This window comes from Homo sapiens, chromosome 6 (assembly GCF_000001405.40).
Source record: "Homo sapiens chromosome 6, GRCh38.p14 Primary Assembly".
Lineage (NCBI taxonomy): Eukaryota > Metazoa > Chordata > Mammalia > Primates > Hominidae > Homo > Homo sapiens.
In genome coordinates, this window is record NC_000006.12 from 22,167,497 (window position 1) to 22,188,006 (window position 20,510).

The 20,510-nt window shown below is 40.7% G+C and overlaps 1 long non-coding RNA gene across 1 annotated transcript in view; it reads left to right on the top strand.

Annotated features, from left to right (window-relative positions):
• The window catches only part of CASC15 (cancer susceptibility 15), a 529,408-nt gene that overhangs the window by 501,084 nt on the left and 7,814 nt on the right, over positions 1 to 20,510 (top strand). The window contains exon 10 of the long non-coding RNA NR_015410.2: positions 6,502 to 6,566. This is a non-coding gene — a long non-coding RNA (cancer susceptibility 15). The remainder of the gene's footprint in view (positions 1 to 6,501; positions 6,567 to 20,510) is intronic.

The window sequence follows — 20,510 nt, forward strand, 5'->3', positions numbered from 1 at the left end:
TAGGTCTAACATGTAAGTCTTTAATCGATCTTGAATTAATTTTTGTATAAGGTGTAAGGAAGGGATCCAGTTTCAGCTTTCTACATATGGCTAGCCAGTTTTCCCAGCACCATTTATTAAATAGTGAATCCTTTCCCCATTTTTTGTTTTTGTCAGGTTTGTCAAAGATCAGATAGTTGTAGATATGCGGCATTATTTCTGAGGGTTCTGTTCTGTTCCATTGGTCTATGTCTCTGTTTTGGTACCAGCACCATGCTGTTTTGGTTACTGTAGCCTTGTAGTATAGTTTGAAGTCAGGTAGCATGATGCCTCCAGCTTTGTTCTTTTGGCTTAGGATTGACTTGGCAATGTGGGCTCTATTTTGGTTCCATATGAACTTTAAAGTAGTTTTTTCCAATTCTGTGAAGAAAGTCATTGGTAGCTTGATGGGGATGGCATTGAATGTATAAATTACCTTGGGCAGTATGGCCATTTTCACGGTATTGATTCTTCCTACCCATGAGCATGGAATGTTCTTCCATTTGTTTGTATCCTCTTTTATTTCCTTGAGCAGTGGTTTGTAGTTCTCCTTGAAGAGGTCCTTCACATCCCTTGTAAGTTGGATTCCTAGGTATTTTATTCTCTGTGAAGCAATTGTGAATGGGAGTTCACTCATGATTTGGCTCTCTGTTTGTCTGTTATTGGTGTATGAGAATGCTTGTGATTTTTGCACATTGATTTTGTATCCTGAGACTTTGCTGAAGTTACTTATCATCTTAAGGAGGTTTTGGGCTGAAACAATGGGGTTTTCTAGATATACAATCATGTCGTCTGCAAACAGGGACAATTTGACTTCCTCCTTTCCTAATTGAATACCCTTTATTCTCTTCTCCTGCCTGATTGCCCTGGCCAGAACTGCCAACACTATGTTGAATAGGAGTGGTGAGAGAGGGCATCCCTGTCTTGTGCCAGTTTTCAAAGGGAATGCTTCCAGTTTTTGTCCATTCAGTGTGACATTGGCTGTGGGTTTTGTCATAGATAGCTCTTATTATTTTGAGATACGTCCCATCAATACCTAATTTATTGAGCGTTTTTAGCATGAAGCGTCGTTGAATTTTGTCAAAGGCCTTTTCTGCATCTATTGAGATAATCATGTGGTTTTTGTCTTTGGTTCTGTTTATATGCTGGATTACATTTATTGATTTTCATATGTTGAACCAGCCTTGCATCCCAGGGATGAAGCCCACTTGATCATGGTGGATAAGCTTTTTGATGTGTTGCTGGATTCGGTTTGCCAGTATTTTATTGAGGATTTTTGCATCAATGTTCATCAAGGATATTGGTCTAAAATTCTCTGTTTTTGTTGTGTCTCTGCCAGGCTTTGGTATCAGGATGATGCTGGCCTCATAAAATGAGATAGGGAGGATTCCCTCTTTTTCTGTTGATTGGAATAGTTTCAGAAGGAATGGTACCAGTTCCTCCTTGTACCTCTGGTAGAATTCGGCTGTGAATCCATCTGGTCCTGGACTTTTTTTGGTTGGTAAGCTATTAATTATTGCCTCAACTTCAGAGCCTGTTATTGGTCTATTCAGAGATTCAACTTCTTCCTGGTTTAGTCTTGGGAGACTGTATGTGTCAAGGAATTTATCCATTTCTTCTAGATTTGCTAGTTTATTTGCATAGAGGTGTTTATAGTATTCTCTGATGGTAGTTTGTATTTCTGTGGGATCGGTGGTGATATCACCTTTGTCATTTTTTATTGCGTCTATTTGATTCTTCTCTCTTTTCTTCTTTATTAGTCTTGCTAGCAGTCTATCAATTTTGTTGATCTTTTCAAAAAACCAGCTCCTGGATTCATTGATTTTTTTTGAAGGGTTTTTTGTGTCTCTATTTCCTTGAGTTCTGCTCTGATCTTAGTTATTTCTTGCCTTTTGTTAGCTTCTGAATGTGTTTGCTCTTGCTTCTCTAGTTCTTTTAATTGTGATGTTAAGGTGTCAATTTTAGATCTTTCTGCTTTCTTTTGTGGGCATTTAGTGCTATAAATTTCCCTCTACACACTGCTTTTAATGTGTCCCAGAGATTCTGGTATGTTGTGTCTTTGTTCTTGTTGGTTTCAAAGAACATCTTTATTTCCGCCTTTATTTCGTTATGTACCCAGTAGTCATTCAGGAGCAGGTTGTTCAGTTTCCACGTAGTTGAGCGGTTTTGAGTGAGTTTCTTAATCCTGAGTTCTCGTTTGATTGCACTGTGGTCTGAGAGACAGTTTGTTATAATTTCTGTTCTTTTACATTTGCTGAGGAGTATTTTACTTCCAACTATGTGGTCAGTTTTGGAATAGGTGTGGTGTGGTGCTGAAAAGAATGTATATTCTGTTGATTTGGGGTGGAGAGTTCTGTAGATGTCTATTAGGTCCGCTTGGTGCAGAGCTGAGTTCAATTCCTGGATATCCTTGTTAACTTTCTGTCTTGTTGATCTGTCTAATGTTGACAGTGGGGTGTTAAAGTCTCCCATTATTATTTTGTGGGAGTCTAAGTCTCATTGTAGGTCACTCAGGACTTGCTTTATGAATCTGGGTGCTCCTGTATTGGGTGCATATATATTTAGGATAGTTAGTTCTTATTGATGAATTGATCCCTTTACCATTATGTAATGGCCTTGTCTTTTTTGATCTTCGTTGGTTTACAGTCTGTTTTTTCAGAGACTAGGATTGCAACCCCTGCCTTTTTTTGTTTTCCATTTGCTTGGTAGATCTTCCTCCATCCTTTTGTTTTGAGCCTAGGTGTCTCTGCATGTGAGATGGGTTTCCTGAATACAACACACTGATGGGACTTGGCTCTTTATCCAATTTGCCAGTCTGTGCCTTTTAATTGGAGCATGTAGCCCATTTACATTTAAGGTTAGTATTGTTATGTGTGAATTTGATCCTGTCATTATGATGTTAGCTGGTTATTTTGCTCGTTAGTTGATGCAGTTTCTTCCTGGCCTTGATGGTCTTTACAATTTGGCATGTTTTTGCAGTGGCTGGTACCAGTTGTTCCTTTCCATGTTTAGTGCTTCCTTCAGGAGCTCTTTTAGGGCAGGCCTGGTGGTGACACAATCTCTCAGCATTTGCTTGTCTGTGAAGGGTTTTATTTCTCCTTCACTTATGAAGCTTAGTTTGGCTGGATATGAAATTCTGGGTTGAAAATTCTTTTCTTTAAGAATGTTGAATATTGGCCCCCACTCTCTTCTAGCTTGGAGAGTTTCTGCTGAGAGATCCGCTGTTAGTCTGATGGGCTTCCCCTTGTGGGTAACCCGACCTTTCTCTCTGTCTGCCTTAACATTTTTCTCTTCATTTCAACTTTGGTGAATCTAACAATTATGTGTCTTGGAGTTGCTCTTCTCGAGGAGTATCTTTGTGGCTTTCTCTGTATTTCCTGAATTTGAATGCTGGCCTGCCTTGTTAGATTGGGGAAGTTCTCCTGGATAATATCCTGCAGAGTGTTTTCCAACTTGGTTCCATTCTCCCCATCACTTTCAGATACACCAATTAGACGTAGATTTGGTCTTTTCACATAGTCCCATATTTCTTGGAGGCTTTGTTCTTTTCTTTTTATTCTTTTTTCTCTGAACTTCTCTTCACGCTTCATTTCATTCATTTCGTCTTCCATCACTGATACCCTTTCTTCCAGGTGATCGCATTGGTTACTGAGGCTTGTGCATTTGTGACATAGTTCTCATGCTGTGGTTTTCAGCTCCATCAAGTCCTTTAAGGACTTCTCTGCTTTGGTTATTCTAGTTATCCATTCATCTAATTTTTTATCAAAGTTTTTAACTTCTTTGCCATTGGTTCAGACTTCCTCCTTTAGCTCAGAGTAGTTTGATCTTCTGAAGCCTTCCTCTCGTCAAAGTCATTTTCCATCCAGCTTTGTTCCATTGCTGGTGAGGAGCTGCGTTCCTTTGGAGGAGGAGAGGTGCTCTGATTTTTAGAGTTTCTGGTTATTCTGCTGTGTTTTTTCCCCATCTTTGTGGTTTTATGTACCTTTGGTCTTCGATGATGACCACATACAGATGGGTTTTTGGTGTGGATGTCCTTTCTGTTTGTTAGTTTTCCTTCTTACAGTCAGGACCCTCAGCTGCAGATCCGTTGGATTTTACTGGAGGTCCACTCCAGACCCTGTTTGCCTGGGTATCAGCAGCAGTGGCTGCAGAACAGCAGATATTGGTGAACCGCAAATGCTGCTGCCTGATTGTTCCTCTGGAAGTTTTGTCTCAGAGGAGTACCCGGCCATGTGAGGTGTCAGTCCACCCCTAGTGGGGGGTGCCTCCCAGTTAGGCTCCTCAGGGGTCAGGGACCCACTTGAGAAGGTAGTCTGCCTGTTCTCAGATCTGAAGCTGCATGCTGGGAAAACCACTACTCTCTTCAAAGCTGTCAGACAGGGACATTTAAGTCTACGGAGGTTATTGCTGTCTTTTGTTTGTCTTTGCCCTGCCCACAGAGGTGGAGCCTACAGAGGCAGGCAGGCCTCCTTGAGCTGTGGCGGGCTCCTCCTAGTTCGAGCTTCCCAGCTGCTTTGTTTACCTACTCGGGCCTAAGCAATGGCGGGCGCCCCTCCCCCAGCCTCGCTTTCACCTTGCAGTTTGATCTCAGACTGCTGTGCTAGCAATGAGCGAGGCTCCGTGGGCATAGGACCCTCTAAGCCAGGTGCGGGATATAATCTCCTGGTGTGCCGTTTGTGAAGCCCGTTGGAAAAGCACATTATTCGGGTGGGAGTGACCCGATTTTCCAGGTGCCGTCTGCCACCCCTTTCTTTGACTAGGAAAGGGAATTCCCTGACCCCTTGCGCTTCCCGAGTGAGGCGATGCCTCGCCCTGCTTTGGCTCACGCACGGTGCACTGCACCCACTATCCTGCACCCACTGTCCGGCACTTCTCAGTGAGATGAACCCGGTACCTCAGTTGGAAATGCAGGAATCACATGTCTTCTGCGTCGCTCACGCTGGGAGCTGTAGACTGGAGCCGTTCCTGTTTGGCCATCTTGGCTCCACACCGCCTTGCTTTCCTTTCACCTTCGGCTGTGATTGTAAGTTTCCTGAGGCCTCCCCAGCCATGCAGAACAGAGCCAATTAAACTTTTTTCTTCATAAATTATCCAGTCTCAGGTAATACCTTTATAGCAGTGTGAGAACAGACTAATACAGAGAATTGGTACTGGGATAGTGGGGTACTGCTATAAAGATAACCTGAAAATGTGGAGACAACTTTGGAACTGTGTAACAGGTAGAAGTTGGAACAGTTTGGAAGGCTCAGAAGACAGGAAGATGTGGGAAAGTCTGGAACTTCCTACAGTCTTGTTGAATGGTTTTGACCAAAATGCTGATAGTGATATGGACAATGAAGTCCAGGATGAGGTAGTCTCAGATGAAGATGAAAAACTTGTTGGGAACTGGAGTAAAGGTAACTGTTGCTATGCATTAGCAAAGAGACTGGCAGCATTTTGCCCCTGCCCTAGAGATTTGTGGAATTTTTAACTTGAGAGAGATGGTCTGAAATTGGAACTTATGTTTGAAAGAGAAGGAGAGCATAAAAGTTTGGAAAATTTGCAGCCTAAACATGTGGCAGAAAAGAAAAACCAATTTCCTGGGAAGAAATTCAATCTGGCTGCAGAAATTTGCATACACAACAAGGAGCCGAATGTTAATCATCAAGACAATGTGGAATATGTCTCCAGGGCATGTCAGAGGTCTTCACAGCAGCCCCTATCATCGCAGGCCTAGAGGCATAAGAAGAAAACTTGGTTCCACAGGCTGGACTCAGGGCCTTGCTGCTTTGTGCAGTCTTGGAACGTTGTGCCCTGCATCCCAGCTATGGCTAAAAGGGACCAACATACAACTCAGGTCTTTGCTTCAGAGGGTGCAAGGCCCAAGCCTTGGTGGCTTCCAAGTAATATTGGGCCTTTGAGTGCACAGAAGTCAAGAATTGGGGTTGGGAACCTCAGCCTAGATTGCAGATCATATATGGAAATATCTGGATGTCCAGGCAGAAATTTGCTGTTGGGGTGGAGCCCTCATGGAGACCCTCTGCTAAGGCAGTGTGGAAGGGAAATTTGGAGTCAGAGCTCCCACACAGAGTCCCCACTGGGGCATTGCCTAGGGGAGATGTGAGAAGAGGGCCACCATCCTCCACTAGAATGGTAGATCCACCAGCAGCTTGCACCATGCTCCTGGAAAAGCCACAGGCACTCAGTGCTAACCTGTGAAAGCAGCCTTGGGGGCGGTACCCTGCAGAGCCACAGGGACAGAGCTGCCCAAGGCCTTTGGAGCCCATCCCTTTTGTCAAAGTACCCTGGATGTTAGAGATGGAGTCAAAGGAGATCATATTGGAGTTTTAAGATTTAATAACTGTCATGTTGGCTTCCAGACTTGCATGCGGCCTGCAGACCCTTTGTTTTGGCCAATTTCTCTTGTTTGGAATGGAGTCATTTACCCAATGCCTATACCCTCATTGTATCTTAGAAGTAACTAACTTGCTTTTGATTTTACAGGCTCACAGGCAGAAGGAATTTTCCTTGTCTTGGATGAGACTTTTGACTTGGACTTTTGGGTTAAGGTTAGTATAAGCTAAGATTTTGGGGGACTGTTGCGAAGGCATGATTGATTTTGCAATGTGAGAAGAACGTGAGATTTTGGAGGGGCGAGTTGCAGAATGATATGGTTTGGCTCAGTTCCCCACTCAAATCTCATCTGGAGTTGTAATCTCTAGACATTGAGGGAGGGGCCTGGTGAGAGGTGATTGGATCATGTGGGTGGTTTCTGCCATTCTGTTCTCACAATAGTGAGGGAGTTCTCAGAAGATCTGATGCTGTAAACGTGTTTGGCAGTTCCCCACTTCTATCTCTCTCTCTCTCCCTCTCCCTTTCTCCTGCTGCCATGTAAGACATGCCTTGTTTCCCCTTTGCCTTCCACCATGATTGTAAGTTTCCTGAGGCTTCCCCTGCCATGCAGACCCGTGAGTCAATTAAATCTGTTATTTCATAGATTACCAAGTCTCAACTAGTATCTGTATAGCGCAGTGTGAGAATGGACCAATACAGTGTGTGTATGTTGAACTGTCCTTGCATTTGTGGGATAAAGCTCACTTGATCATGGTGTATGATGTTTTTGATGTGCTGTTGAATTCGGTTTGCTAATATTTTGTTGAGAATTTTGCATCTATGTTTATCAGGGATATTGGCCTGTAGTTCACTGTTGTTGTTGTATCCTTATCTGGTTTTGATATTAGAGTAATGCTGGTCTTATAGAATGAATTTGGAACAATTCCCTCCCCTTAGATTTTTCTGGAGTAGTTTGATAAAAGTTGGTATTAGTTCTTTGTCCCCCCCCCCCACTTTTTTTTTTATTATACTTTAAGTTTTAGGGTACATGTGCACATTGTGCAGGTTAGTTACATATGTATACATGTGCCATGCTGGTGTGCTGCACCCACTAACTCGTCATCTAGCATTAGGTATATCTCCCAATGCTATCCCTCCCCACTCCCCCAACCCCACCACAGTCCCCAGAGTGTGATATTCCCCTTCCTGTGTCCATGTGATCTCATTGTTCAATTCCCACCTATGAGTGAGAATATGCGGTGTTTGGTTTTTTGTTCTTGCAATAGTTTACTGAGAATGATGATTTCCAATTTCATCCATGTCCCTACAAAGGACATGAACTCATCATTTTTTATGGCTGCATAGTATTCCATGGTGTATATGTGCCACATTTTCTTAATCCAGTCTATCGTTGTTGGACATTTGGGTTGGTTCCAAGTCTTTGCTATTGTGAATAATGCCGCAATAAACATACGTGTGCATGTGTCTTTATAGCGGCATGATTTATAATCCTTTGGGTATATACCCAGTAATGGGATGGCTGGGTCAAATGGCATTTCTAGTTCTAGATGCCTGAGGAATCGCCACACTGACTTCCACAATGGTTGAACTAGTTTACGGTTGAACTAGTTTACAGTCCCACCAACAGTGTAAAAGTGTTCCTGTTTCTCCACATCCTCTCCAGCACCTGTTGTTTCCTGACTTTTTAATGATCGCCATTCTAACTGGTGTGAGATGGTATCTCATTGTGGTTTTGATTTGCATTTCTCTGATGGCCAGTGATGATGAGCATTTTTTCATGTGTTTTTTGGCTGCATAAATGTCTTCTTTTGAGAAGTGTCTGTTCATGTCCTTCGCCCACTTTCTGATGGGGTTGTTTGTTTTTTTCTTGTAAATTTGTTTGAGTTCATTGTAGATTCTGGATATTAGCCCTTTGTCAGATGAGTAAGTTGCAAAAATTTTCTCCCATTTTGTAGGTTGCCTGTTCACTCTGATGGTAGTTTCTTTTGCTGTGCAGAAGCTCTTTAGTTTAATTAGATCCTATTTGTCAATTTTGGCTTTTGTTGCCATTGCTTTTGGTGTTTTGGACATGAAGTCTTTGCCCATGCCTATGTCCTGAATGGTAATGCCTAGGTTTTCTTCTAGGGTTTTTATGGTTTTAGGTCTAACGTTTAAGTCTTCAATCCATCTTGAATTGATTTTTGTATAAGGTGTAAGGAAGGGATCCAGTTCAGCTTTCTACATATGGCTAGCCAGTTTTCCCAGCACCATTTATTAAATAGGGAATCCTTTCCCCATTGCTTGTTTTTCTCAGGTTTGTCAAAGATCAGATAGTTGTAGACATGCGGCGTTATTTCTGAGGGCTCTGTTCTGTTCCGTTGATCTATATCTCTGTTTTGGTACCAGTACCATGCTGTTTTGGTTACTGTAGCCTTGTAGTATAGTTTGAAGTCAGGTAGTGTGATGCCTCCAGCTTTGTTCTTTTGGCTTAGGATTGCCTTGGCGATGCGGGCTCTTTTTTGGTTCCATATGAACTTTAAAGTAGTTTTTTCCAATTCTGTGAAGAAAGTCATTGGTAGCTTGATGGGGATGGCATTGAATCTGTAAATTACCTTGGGCAGTATGGCCATTTTCATGATATTGATTCTTCCTACCCATGAGCATGGAATGTTCTTCCATTTGTTTGTATCCTCTTTTATTTCCTTGAGCAGTGGTTTGTAGTTCTCCTTGAAGAGGTCCTTCACATCCCTTGTAAGTTGGATTCCTAGGTATTTTATTCTCTTTGAAGCAATTGTGAATGGGAGTTCACTCATGATTTGGCTCTCTGTTTGTCTGTTATTGGTGTATGAGAATGCTTGTGATTTTTGTACATTGATTTTGTATCCTGAGACTTTGCTGAAGTTGCTTATCAGCTTAAGGAGATTTTGGGCTGAGACAATGGGGTTTTCTAGATATACAATCATGTCGTCTGCAAACAGGGACAATTTGACTTCCTCTTTTCCTAATTGAATACCCTTTATTTCCTTCTCCTGCCTGATTGCCCTGGCCAGAACTTCCAACACTATGTTGAATAGGAGTGGTGAGACAGGGCATCCCTGTCTTGTGCCAGTTTTCAAAGGGAATGCTTCCAGTTTTTGCCCATTCAGTATGATATTGGCTGTGGGTTTGTCATAGATAGCTCTTATTATTTTGAGATACGTCCCATCAATACCTAATTTATTGAGAGTTTTTAGCATGAAGGGTTGTTGAATTTTGTCAAAGGCTTTTTCTGCATCTATTGAGATAATCATGTGGTTTTTGTCTTTGGCTCTGTTTATATGCTGGATTACATTTATTGATTTGCGTATATTGAACCAGCCTTGCATCCCAGGGATGAAGCCCACTTGATCATGGTGGATAAGCTTTTTGATGTGCTGCTGGATTCGTTTTGCCAGTATTTTATTGAGGATTTTTGCATCAATGTTCATCAAGGATATTGGTCTAAAATTCTCTTTTTTTGTTGTGTCTCTGCTCAGCTTTGGTATCAGGATGATGCTGGCCTCATAAAATGAGATAGGGAGGATTCCCTCTTTTTCTGTTGATTGGAATAGTTTCAGAAGGAATGGTACCAGTTCCTCCTTGTACCTCTGGTAGAATTCGGCTGTGAATCCATGTGGTTCTGGACTCTTTTTGGTTGGTAAACTATTGATTATTGCCACAATTTCAACTCCTGTTATTGGTCTATTCCGAGATTCAACTTCTTCCTGGTTTAGTCTTGGGAGAGTGTATGTGTCCAGGAATTTATCCATTTCTTCTAGATTTTCTAGTTTATTTGCGTAAAGGTGTTTGTAGTATTCTCTGATGGTAGTTTGTATTTCTGTTGGATCGGTGGTGATATCCCCTTTATCATTTTTATTGTGTCTGTTTGATTCTTCTCTCTTTTTTTCTTTATTAGTCTTGCTAGCTGTCTATCAATTTTGTTGATCCTTTCAAAAAACCAACTCCTGGATTCATTGATATTTTTGAAGGGTTTTTTGTGTCTCTATTTCCTTCAGTTCTGCTCTGATGTTAGTTATTTCTTGCCTTCTGCTAGCTTTTGAATGTGTTTGCTCTTGCTTTTCTAGTTCTTTTAATTGTGATGTTAGGGTGTCAATTTTGGATCTTTCCTGCTTTCTCTTGTGGGCATTTAGTGCTATAAATTTCCCTCTACACACTGCTTTGAATGCGTCCCAGAGATTCTGATATGTTGTGTCTTTGTTCTCGTTGGTTTCAAAGAACATCTTTATTTCTGCCTTCATTTCATTATGTATCCAGTAGTCATTCAGGAGCAGGTTGTTCAGTTTCCATGTAGTTGAGCGGTTTTGAGTGAGATTCTTAATCCTGAGTTCTAGTTTGATTGCACTGTGGTCTGAGAGATAGTTTGCTATAATCTCTGTTCTTTTACATTTGCTGAGGAGAGCTTTACTTCCAAGTATGTGGTCAATTTTGGAATAGGTGTGGTGTGGTGCTGAAAAAAATGTATATTCTGTTGATTTGGGGTGGAGAGTTCTGTAGATGTCTATTAGGTCTGCTTGGTGCAGAGCTGAGTTCAATTCCTGGATATCCTTGTTGACTTTCTGTCTCGTTGATCTGCCTAATGTTGACAGTGGGGTGTTAAAGTCTCCCATTATTAAAGTGTGGGAGTCTATGTCTCTTTGTAGGTCACTCAGGACTTGCTTTATGAATCTGGGTGCTCCTGTATTGGGTGCATATATATTTAGGATAGTTAGCTCTTCTTGTTGAATTGATCCCTTTACCATTATGTAATGGCCTTCTTTGTCTCTTTTGATCTTTGCTGGTTTAAAGTCTGTTTTATCAGAGACTAGGATTGCAACCCCTGCCTTTTTTTGTTTTCCATTTGCTTGGTAGATCTTCCTCCATCCTTTTATTTTGAGCCTATGTGTGTCTCTGCATGTGAGATGGGTTTCCTGAATACAACACACTGATGGGTCTTGACTCTTCATCCAATTTGCCAGTCTGTGTCTTTTAATTGGAGCATTTAGTCCATTTACATTTAAAGTTAATATTGTTATGTGTGAATTTGATCCTGTCATTATGATATTAGCTGGTTATTTTGCTCGTTAGTTGATGCAGTTTCTTCCTAGCCTCGATGGTGTTTACAGTTTGGCATGATTTTGCAGCGGCTGGTACCAGTTGTTCCTTTCCATGTTTAGTACTTCCTTCAGGAGCTCTTTTAGGGCAGGCCTGGTGGTGACAAAATCTCTCAGCATTTGCTTGTCTGTAAAGTATTTTATTTCTCCTTCACTTATGAAGCTTAGTTTGGCTGGATATGAAATTCTGGGTTGAAAATTCTTTTCTTTAAGAATGTTGAATATTGGCCCCCACTCTCTTCTGGTTTGTAGGGTTTCTGCTGAGAGATCCGCTGTTAGTCTGATGGGCTTCCCTTTGAGGGTAACCCGACCTTTCTCTCTGGCTGCCCTTAACATTTTTTCCTTCATTTCAACTTTGGTGAATCTGACAATTATGTGTCTTGGAGTTGCTCTTCTCGAGGAGTATCTTTGTGGCGTTCTCTGTATTTCCTGAATCTGAACGTTGGCCTGCCTTGCTAGATTGGGGAAGTTCTCCTGGATAATATCCTGCAGAGTGTTTTCCAACTTGGTTCCATTCTCCCCATCACTTTCAGGTACACCAATCAGACGTAGATTTGGTCTTTTCACATAGTCCCATATTTCTTGGAAGCTTTGCTCATTTCTTTGTATTCTTTTTTCTCTAAACTTCCCTTCTTGCTTCAGTTCATTCATTTCATCTTCCATCACTGATACCCTTTCTTCCAGTTGATCGCATCGGCTCCTGAGGCTTCTGCATTCTTCACGTAGTTCTCGAGCCTTGGTTTTCAGCTCCATCAGCTCCTTTAAGCACTTCTCTGTATTGGTTTTTCTAGTTATACATTCTTCTAAATTTTTTTCAAAGTTTTCAACTTCTTTGCCTTTGGTTTGAATGTCCTCCCGTAGCTCAGAGTAATTTGATCGTCTGAAGCCTTCTTCTCTCAGCTCGTCAAAGTCATTCTCCATCCAGCTTTGTTCCATTGCTGGTGAGGAACTGCGTTCCTTTGGAGGAGGATAGGCGCTCTGCGTTTTAGAGTTTCCAGTTTTTCTGTTCTGTTTTTTCCCCATCTTTGTGGTTTTATCTACTTTTGGTCTTTGATGATGGTGATGTACAGATGGGTTTTTGGTGTGGATGTCCTTTCTGTTTGTTAGTTTTCCTTCTAACAGACAGGACCCTCAGCTGCAGGTCTGTTGGAATACCCTGCCGTGTGAGATGTCAGTGTGCCCCTGCTGGGGGGTGCCTCCCAGTTAGGCTGCTCGGGGGTCAGGGGTCAGGGACCCACTTGAGGAGGCAGTCTGCCCGTTCTCAGATCTCCAGCTGCGTGCTGGGAGAACCACTGCTCTCTTCAAAGCTGTCAGACAGGGACATTTAAGTCTGCAGAGGTTACTGCTGTCTTTTTGTTTGTCTGTGTCCTGCCCCCAGAGGTGGAGCCTACAGAGGCAGGCAGGCCTCCTTGAGCTGTAGTGGGCTCCACCCAGTTCGAGCTTCCTGGCTGCTTTGTTTACCTAAGCAAGCCTGGGCAATGGCGGGCGCCCCTCCCCCCGCCTCGCTGCCGCCTTGCAGTTTGATCTCAGGCTGCTGTGCTAGCAATCAGCGAGATTCCGTGGGCGTAGGACCCTCCGAGCCAGGTGCGGGATATAATCTCGTGGTGCGCTGCAGTCCGAAAAGCGCAATATTCGGGTGGGAGTGACCCGATTTTCCAGGTGCGTCCGTCACCCCTTTCTTTGACTCGGAAAGGGAACTCCCTGACCCCTTGCGCTTCCCAAGTGAGGCAATGCCTCGCCCTGCTTCGGCTCGCTCACGGTGCGCGCACCCACTGACCTGCGCCCACTGTCTGGCACTCTCTAGTGAGATGAACCCGGTACCTCAGATGGAAATGCAGAAATCACCCGTCTTCTGCGTCGCTCACGCTGGGAGCTGTAGACTGGAGCTGTTCCTATTCGGCCATCTTGGCTCCTCCCCCTCTGTATTAGTTCTTTGAAAGTTTGGTAGAATTCAGCAGTGAAGCCCTCTCTCCCTAGGCTTTTCTTTGTTGGGAGTGAGTTTTTTTTGTTTTTTTTTTTAAATTACTGACTCAATCTCATTTCTCATTATTGGTCTATTCAGGATTTCTGTTACTTTCCGATTCAGTCTTGGTAGGTTGTATGTGTCCAGGACTTTATCCATTTCCTCTGGGTTTTTCCATTTGTTTGGTGTACAATTGTTCATAATAGTCCCTAACAGCCCTTTGAATTTCTGTGGTATTAGTTATAATGTCTTCTTGTTTTGTTTCTGTTTTATTTTTGTCTTTTTTTTTCTTAGTTAATCTAGCTAATGGTATATGCTAGTCGATTCTCGCACTGCTATAATGAAACACCTGAGGCTGGGTAATTTATAAAGAAAAGAGGTTTAATTGGCATATGGTTCTGCAGGATTTACAGAAAGCGTGGTGCTGGCATCTGATCAGCTTCTGGGGTGGCCTCAGGAAGCTTACAATCATGGTGGCATTTGAAGTGGAAGCGAGAGAGAGAAGAGGAGATGCAACACACTTTTAAACAAGATTTCAGGAGAACTCATTCACTATGGTGAGAACAGTACCATGCTATGAGGGATATTCCCCCATGAACCAAAAACTTCCCACCAGGCCCCACCTCCAACATTAGGCATTACATTTCAACATGAGATGTGGGTGAAGATAAATATCCAAACTATATCATGATGTGTTTGATTTTATTTTAATTAATTTAGAGACAGTGTCTGCCTCTGTCCCCCAGGCTGGAGTGCAATGGTGCAATCTTGGCTCACTGAAATCTCCACCTCCTGGGTTCAAGCAATTCTCATGCTTCAGCCTCCCAAGTAGCTGGGATTACAGGTGTGTGCCACCACACTCAGCCAATTTTTGTATCAATATTTTTAGTAGAGACAGGGTTTCACCATGTTGGCAAGGCTGGTCTCGAACTCCCAATCTCAGGTGATCCACCTGCCTCAGCCTCCCAAAGTTCTGGGATTATAGGTGTAAGCCACCTCACCTGGCCTATTTACTTTATTTTTAATTTTTTTAACTTTTATTTTGGGTTCAAGGCTACATGTAAAGGTTTGTTTACATCGGTAAACTTGTGTCACAGGGGTTTGTTGTACAGATTATTTCATCACCCATGTATTAAGCCCAGTACCGAATAGTTATCTTTGCTCCCCTTCTCCCTCCTTCCACCCTCTACCCTCAAGTAGACCCCAATGTCTGTTGTTTCCTTCTTTGTGTTCAGAAGTTCTCATCATTTAGCTCCCACTTATAAGTAAGAACATATGGTATTTGGTTTTCTGTTCCTTCATTAGTTTGCCAAGGATGATAGCCTCCAGCTCATCCGTGTTCTTGCAAAATAAGTAGTCTCATTATTTTTTATGGCTGCATAATTTTCCATAGTGTGTATGTACCACATTTTCTTTATCCAGTCTGTCATTGATGAGCATTTAGGTTGATTCTGTGTCTTTGCTATCGTGAACATTGCTGTAGTGAACATTCGCATGCATGTGTTCTTATGGTAGAATGATTTATATTCCTCTGGGCATATACCCAGTAATGGGATTGCTGGGTTGAACGGTCGTTCTGCTTTTAGCTTTTTGAGGAATCATCATACTGCTTTCCACAATGGTTGAACTAATGTACGCTCCCACCAACAGTGTATTGTGTTCCCTTTTCTCTGCAACCTCTCCACCATCTATTTATTGAGTTTTTAATACTAGCCATTCTGACTGGTATGAGATCATATCTCATTGTGGTTTTGATTTGCATTTCTCTAATGATCAGTGATACTGAGCTTTTTTTCATATTCTTTTTGGCCACATGTATGTCTTCTTTTGAAAACTGTCTGTGTCCTTTGCCCACTTTTTAACGGAGTTTTTTTTCTTTTGGAAATTTAAGTTGTTTATAGATGCTGGATATTAGACTTTTGTCAGATGCATAGTTTGCAAATATTTTCTCCCATTCTGTAAGTTGTCCGTTTACTCTGTTGATAGTTTCTTTTGCTGTGAAAAAGCTCTTAAGTTTAGTTAGATCCCATTTGTAAATTTTTGCTTTTGTTGTGATTGCTTTTGGTGTCTTTGTCATAAACTCTTTGCCTGTTTCTATGTCCAAGATAGTATTGCCTAGATTGTCTTCCAGGCATTTCAAAAAACCTGCTGTTTATTTTGTTGATCTTTTGCATTTTTTGTCTCTTTCATTTATTTCCACTTTGATCTTTTTTTTTCCCCTTCTAGTAATTTTGGGCTTGGTTTGTTCTTGCTCTTCTGTTTACCTCAGGTGTACTGTTAGGTTGTTTATTTGAAATTTTTCTACTTTTTGATGTGGACACTTATTGCTATAAAGTTCTCTCTTAGTACTGCTTTTGCTGTATACCATAGGTTATGGTATATTATTTCTATTTTCATTTGTTTCAAGAAATTTTTACATTTCCTTCTTAATTTCTTCCTCAACCCATTGATCATTCAGGAAGATGTTGTTTAATTTCCATGTGTTTTTATAGTTTCCAAAGTTCCTCTTGTCGAATTCTAGTTTTATTCCATTGTAGTCAGAAAAAATACTTGATATGAATTCAGTTTTTAAAATGTTGTTAAGGCTTGTTTTGTGACCTAGCATATGGTCTATCCTGGAGAATGTTCTATGTTCTGATGAGAAGAAGGTGTATTCTGCCTTTGTTGGATGAAATGTTCTGTAAATGTCTGTTAGGTCCAGTTGGGCTATATTGCAGTGTAAATCTGATATTTCTTTGCTGGTTATCTATCTAGATGATATGTTTGCTGAGAGTGAGGTGTTGAAGACCCCAGCTATTATTGTATTGAGGTTTCCCTCTCTCTCTTTAGAGCTAATAACATTTGACTTATATAACTGAGTGCTCTGGTTTTGGGTGCATGTATACTTAGAATTATATCCCGTTGCTGATTTGATCCCTTTATCATTATATAGGGACCTTCCTTTTCTCTCTTGACAGTTTTTTACTTAAAGTCTAATTTATCTGATGATATAAGTATAGCTACTCTTGCTTGTTTTGGTTTCCATTTGTTTGAATAATCTTTTTCCATCTCTTCACCCTCAGTCTGTAGTGTCTTTACAGGTGAGATTGAGTTTCTTGTTGGCAGCATATAGTTGCATCTTATTTCTTCATTAATTCAGCCAGTCTACATTTTTTAAATGGGGAATTTAATCCATTTTCATTCAAGGTTATTATTGATAGGTAAGGACTTACTGTTGTCATTTTGTTAGTTGTTTTGGGTTTTTTTTTTTTTTTTTTTTTTGGTATATCCTTTGTTTCTTCTTTTATTGTTGATCTTTGCAGTTTTCTGATTTTTTTTTTTTTGTAGTAATAGGATTTGATTCCTTTCTCTTTCTCATTTGCATATCTGTTCTACCAGTGAGTTATATATTTTCATGTTGTTTACGTGATGGTAGTTGTTATTTCACTTCCAGTTGAAGTACTTCCTCATGCATTTCTTGTAAGGCTAGTCTACTGGTGATCAATTTCCTGAAGTTTTGGTTGTCTGGGAAGGACTTTATTTCTCCTTTGTTTCTCAGAGATAACTTTGCTGGACATAGTATTCTTCTCTGACAGCTTGTTTTCTTTCAGCACTTTGAATATATCATCCCATTCTGTCCTGGTTTTTATGGTTTTCTCTCCTGGTCTGCTGAGAAATCTGCTGTTAGTCTAATAGGGACTCCCCTATACATGACTTGACACTCTTTTCTTGTTGTTTTTAGAATTCTCTATCATTTACTTTTGACAGTTTGACTATAATATGCCTTGGAGAAGAACTTTTTGGGTTGAAACTTTGGGGAGCTTTAGAGCATTGTGTATCTGGCTTTGCATATCTCTCCCAAGACTTGGAAGCTTTTTAGCTATTATTTCATTAAATTTTCTATGACTTTTCCCATCTTTTCCACTTCTGGAACTGCCATAATGCAATCATTTGTTTGCTTAATAGTGTCTAGTAAGTTTGACAGACTTTCTTCATTCTTTTCTATTCTTTTTTCTTGTTTGACTGGATTATTTCAAAAGGCATCTCTTCATGTTCAGAGATTCTTCTGCTTGATGTAATGTGTTGTTGAAGCTTTCAATGATAATTTTTATTAAATTCAGCTCCAATATTTCTGTTTTTTTCATTTTTGATACCTATCTTTTTGTTGAATTTCTCAAATGATGGTTTTTTCATTTTAATTGAATTGTCTTTTTAATATTCCTTTGCCTCTGAGTTTTCTTAAAGTTATTATTTTGAATTTCTTTTCAGGCAATTTAAAATTTTCATTTTTGAGGTCAATTACTGGAGAATTACTGGAGAATTACTGTGCTTTGTGGTGTTATACTTCACTGCTTTTTCATGTTCTTGTCTCCCTTGCTTGATATCTGTGCATTTAATGGAACATTCACGTCTTCCAGTTTTGTAGTGTGGCTTTCATGGGAAAAAACTTTCTTCTACAGATATGTCCTAGGGTGTCAGTTGGGTAGGGTGCGTTGGCTTTTCTTTGGGTGGGTGCAATAGTGTAGTCTTTGTACAGTTTCTTCAGCTATAGTCAACATCAGCAATGCCTGTGTGTGCCTCAATGGCTTAGGCTGTAGAGATTTGTATGGCTATTCCACCTACTTGGGCTCTGCTCCTCGGGGGGTTGGGTGCTGGGCTGGTCCACGCTTTGGAGAAGTGAGGGGCTGGTAAATCAGTGGCTTGAGTCAGCTCAGGCTCTGCTCCTCACATTAAATCTTGAAAGATGTGAATTTCATTACCTCTTAGTTACATAAAGCCATATACAAACTCTTTGTTGTTTGTTTTAAATCTTATCTCTGACTTGGTTATAAATGATTGCACTTTTCTACTATTTCTAACTACAGTATAGCAGTGCTGAAACATCTGGGGGGCAAAAGAAAGTTAGATAGGCTAGTAACACCAAAGTAATGCTGAAACCTGGAAGGAAAGAAAACACATTACTTTCCTCTCCATTCTTCTTTGCTCCCCTTTGAATATATGCTTATTATAATAGCAAGCTGTGTGACCTTGAGCCATTTATTTGTCTGGAGCCACAGCTTCTTTACTTACAAAATAAAGTTAATGCCATTTACATCTCAGAAATTGTGAATATACATGAGAAATATGTTTATAAAATCTCATGATATGCTTGTCACACAGTAAGGTTTGGTAAAGTGAATCCTTCAACAGCGTTCCCCAATTCTTTCTCTTGTGCTGAAAGTGGACTATCTATCTTAGAAAAGACCATGCAAACCAAAATAGAATGACTTGGCTACAGAGCAGTTTCACTGTCTACTGATTACCAACCTGTCTTAATCCAGTGAGATAGAACACTCCTCCACGCAGGTTACCTGAAGCCAGTGTATTACTTACAGATAGGACAACAGAAGCCTATGATTCGTAAAAGCCTCAAGAAAGCTAGTTTGGCAGATGGGGTTTCATCTGCATGTGCCACATTTGCACTGCAGTCGAGGGTCCCAAGAAAGCACTCCACCCTAGGTTTTATACCCCAGCATAACATGATTCACTGTGCTAATGTGTTGAAGGACATGCTGTTTCTATGAGGGATTAGAACAGAACCTAGGCTGTTCAGGCTAGTTTCTCCCTATCTTAAGATGTTGCATTCTCAGCATATTCTATATTTATTCTTGAGAACTATGAGTAAAAAAGAGGGGTAACTGTGTCAGTCCAAAGATACCTGAAGAATTGTCCTGTGCTAACAGCAGAAAAGTTTCCAGTTGATTTAAAATCAAGTGATTTGCAATGTAGTTACAAACAAAATTATTAAGTGCCTATTTTGTATTTGACCCCATGGTAATACTGATTATGATAATAATAAAATATATTAAGCAATTATTTTTACCTGTCATTCTTTGAAGCATTATCTCATTTACTTCTCCCAGAACCCAGTGAGGTAGTTAGTATTATTATCTCTCATTTACAGATGAGGATATACTGAGTTTGCATGTTTAACTCATCCACAGTCACATTACTATTTGTGGTGGAGGAGTGATTTGAACCCAACCTATCTGACTGATTTTTTTAACCAGATTGTTAAGAAAATAAACATCAGCCATCCCAAATCTCCCCATCTAATCCAGAGGGGAAGTTTACAGCTTGAAATAATTACTCTCAAGAGATTTCAGAGAAGTGGTAGAAAACCAACATGGCCTTGGTCTTCTACCACTAAGGTTTTATTTTTAAAATTAATGAATAAGTAGGTCTTGAGTTGCCATTTTATAGCTTTGTTCTTAGTTTAACAAGAAGGAGCAAGTAGGAAGACTTTTCATAGCCCAACCCCCAACACAGTTGAAATCAGCATTAGCATAGAGCATTAGAAATAAGATTCAGCATGCATCTTGCCATGTGACCAATCCTGGCCTCCATCACAGAATTCTAGTTACGTGGTGAACCTGGGAGACCACTCTCTGTCCCCATCCTGGACGCCCCCTATACTGCAGATCCTCCCTGACATGGGACCCCGGACCCTAGGGCTCAGGAAGGCTCAACCAGGACTTAACAGCAGTTTCCGAAGGGCCTTCTGAGCCCCTCACCCATCTCCTAAGTCTGGCCAGACTGACAGGACCAGCAAGGGATGGGGCATGGGAAAGATTAGAAATATAGAATAAAACAGCATCGTGGAGAGCCTTGAAAACCAATTTAAAATAGTTTTATCTTCTAATAGTAGGTCCTAGCTTAGCATCCTAGTTTAGCAGCCTTTACGCTTTGGATCTTGACTCCTTAGTAGGTTGTAAAATTTGTTTATTGGGTCACAACCAACATACCTGTTTTAATGAACTGGGATAGGGTAAAATGGAAAATAGAAACGTGTCTTGCAGTTAATAAGGGCTTTTGTGAAACATTTGTTTTAGTTATATACAGTCAATTCTTGTTATGTGTAGTAGTTCTATTCTATAAAGTCACCACCAACACCGAATTAGTAATTACAAAACCATTGCTCCCTGTGTAAATACAAGATTAGGTTCCTTTGTTCCTCTGGTCACAAAATTTTCATCAACAGATTAATACATAACCTTATTTTATGAGTGTTTCTGTATAAGGACACCTCATTTAATATATATTGTTGATTCATTAACATTAAACTCTAG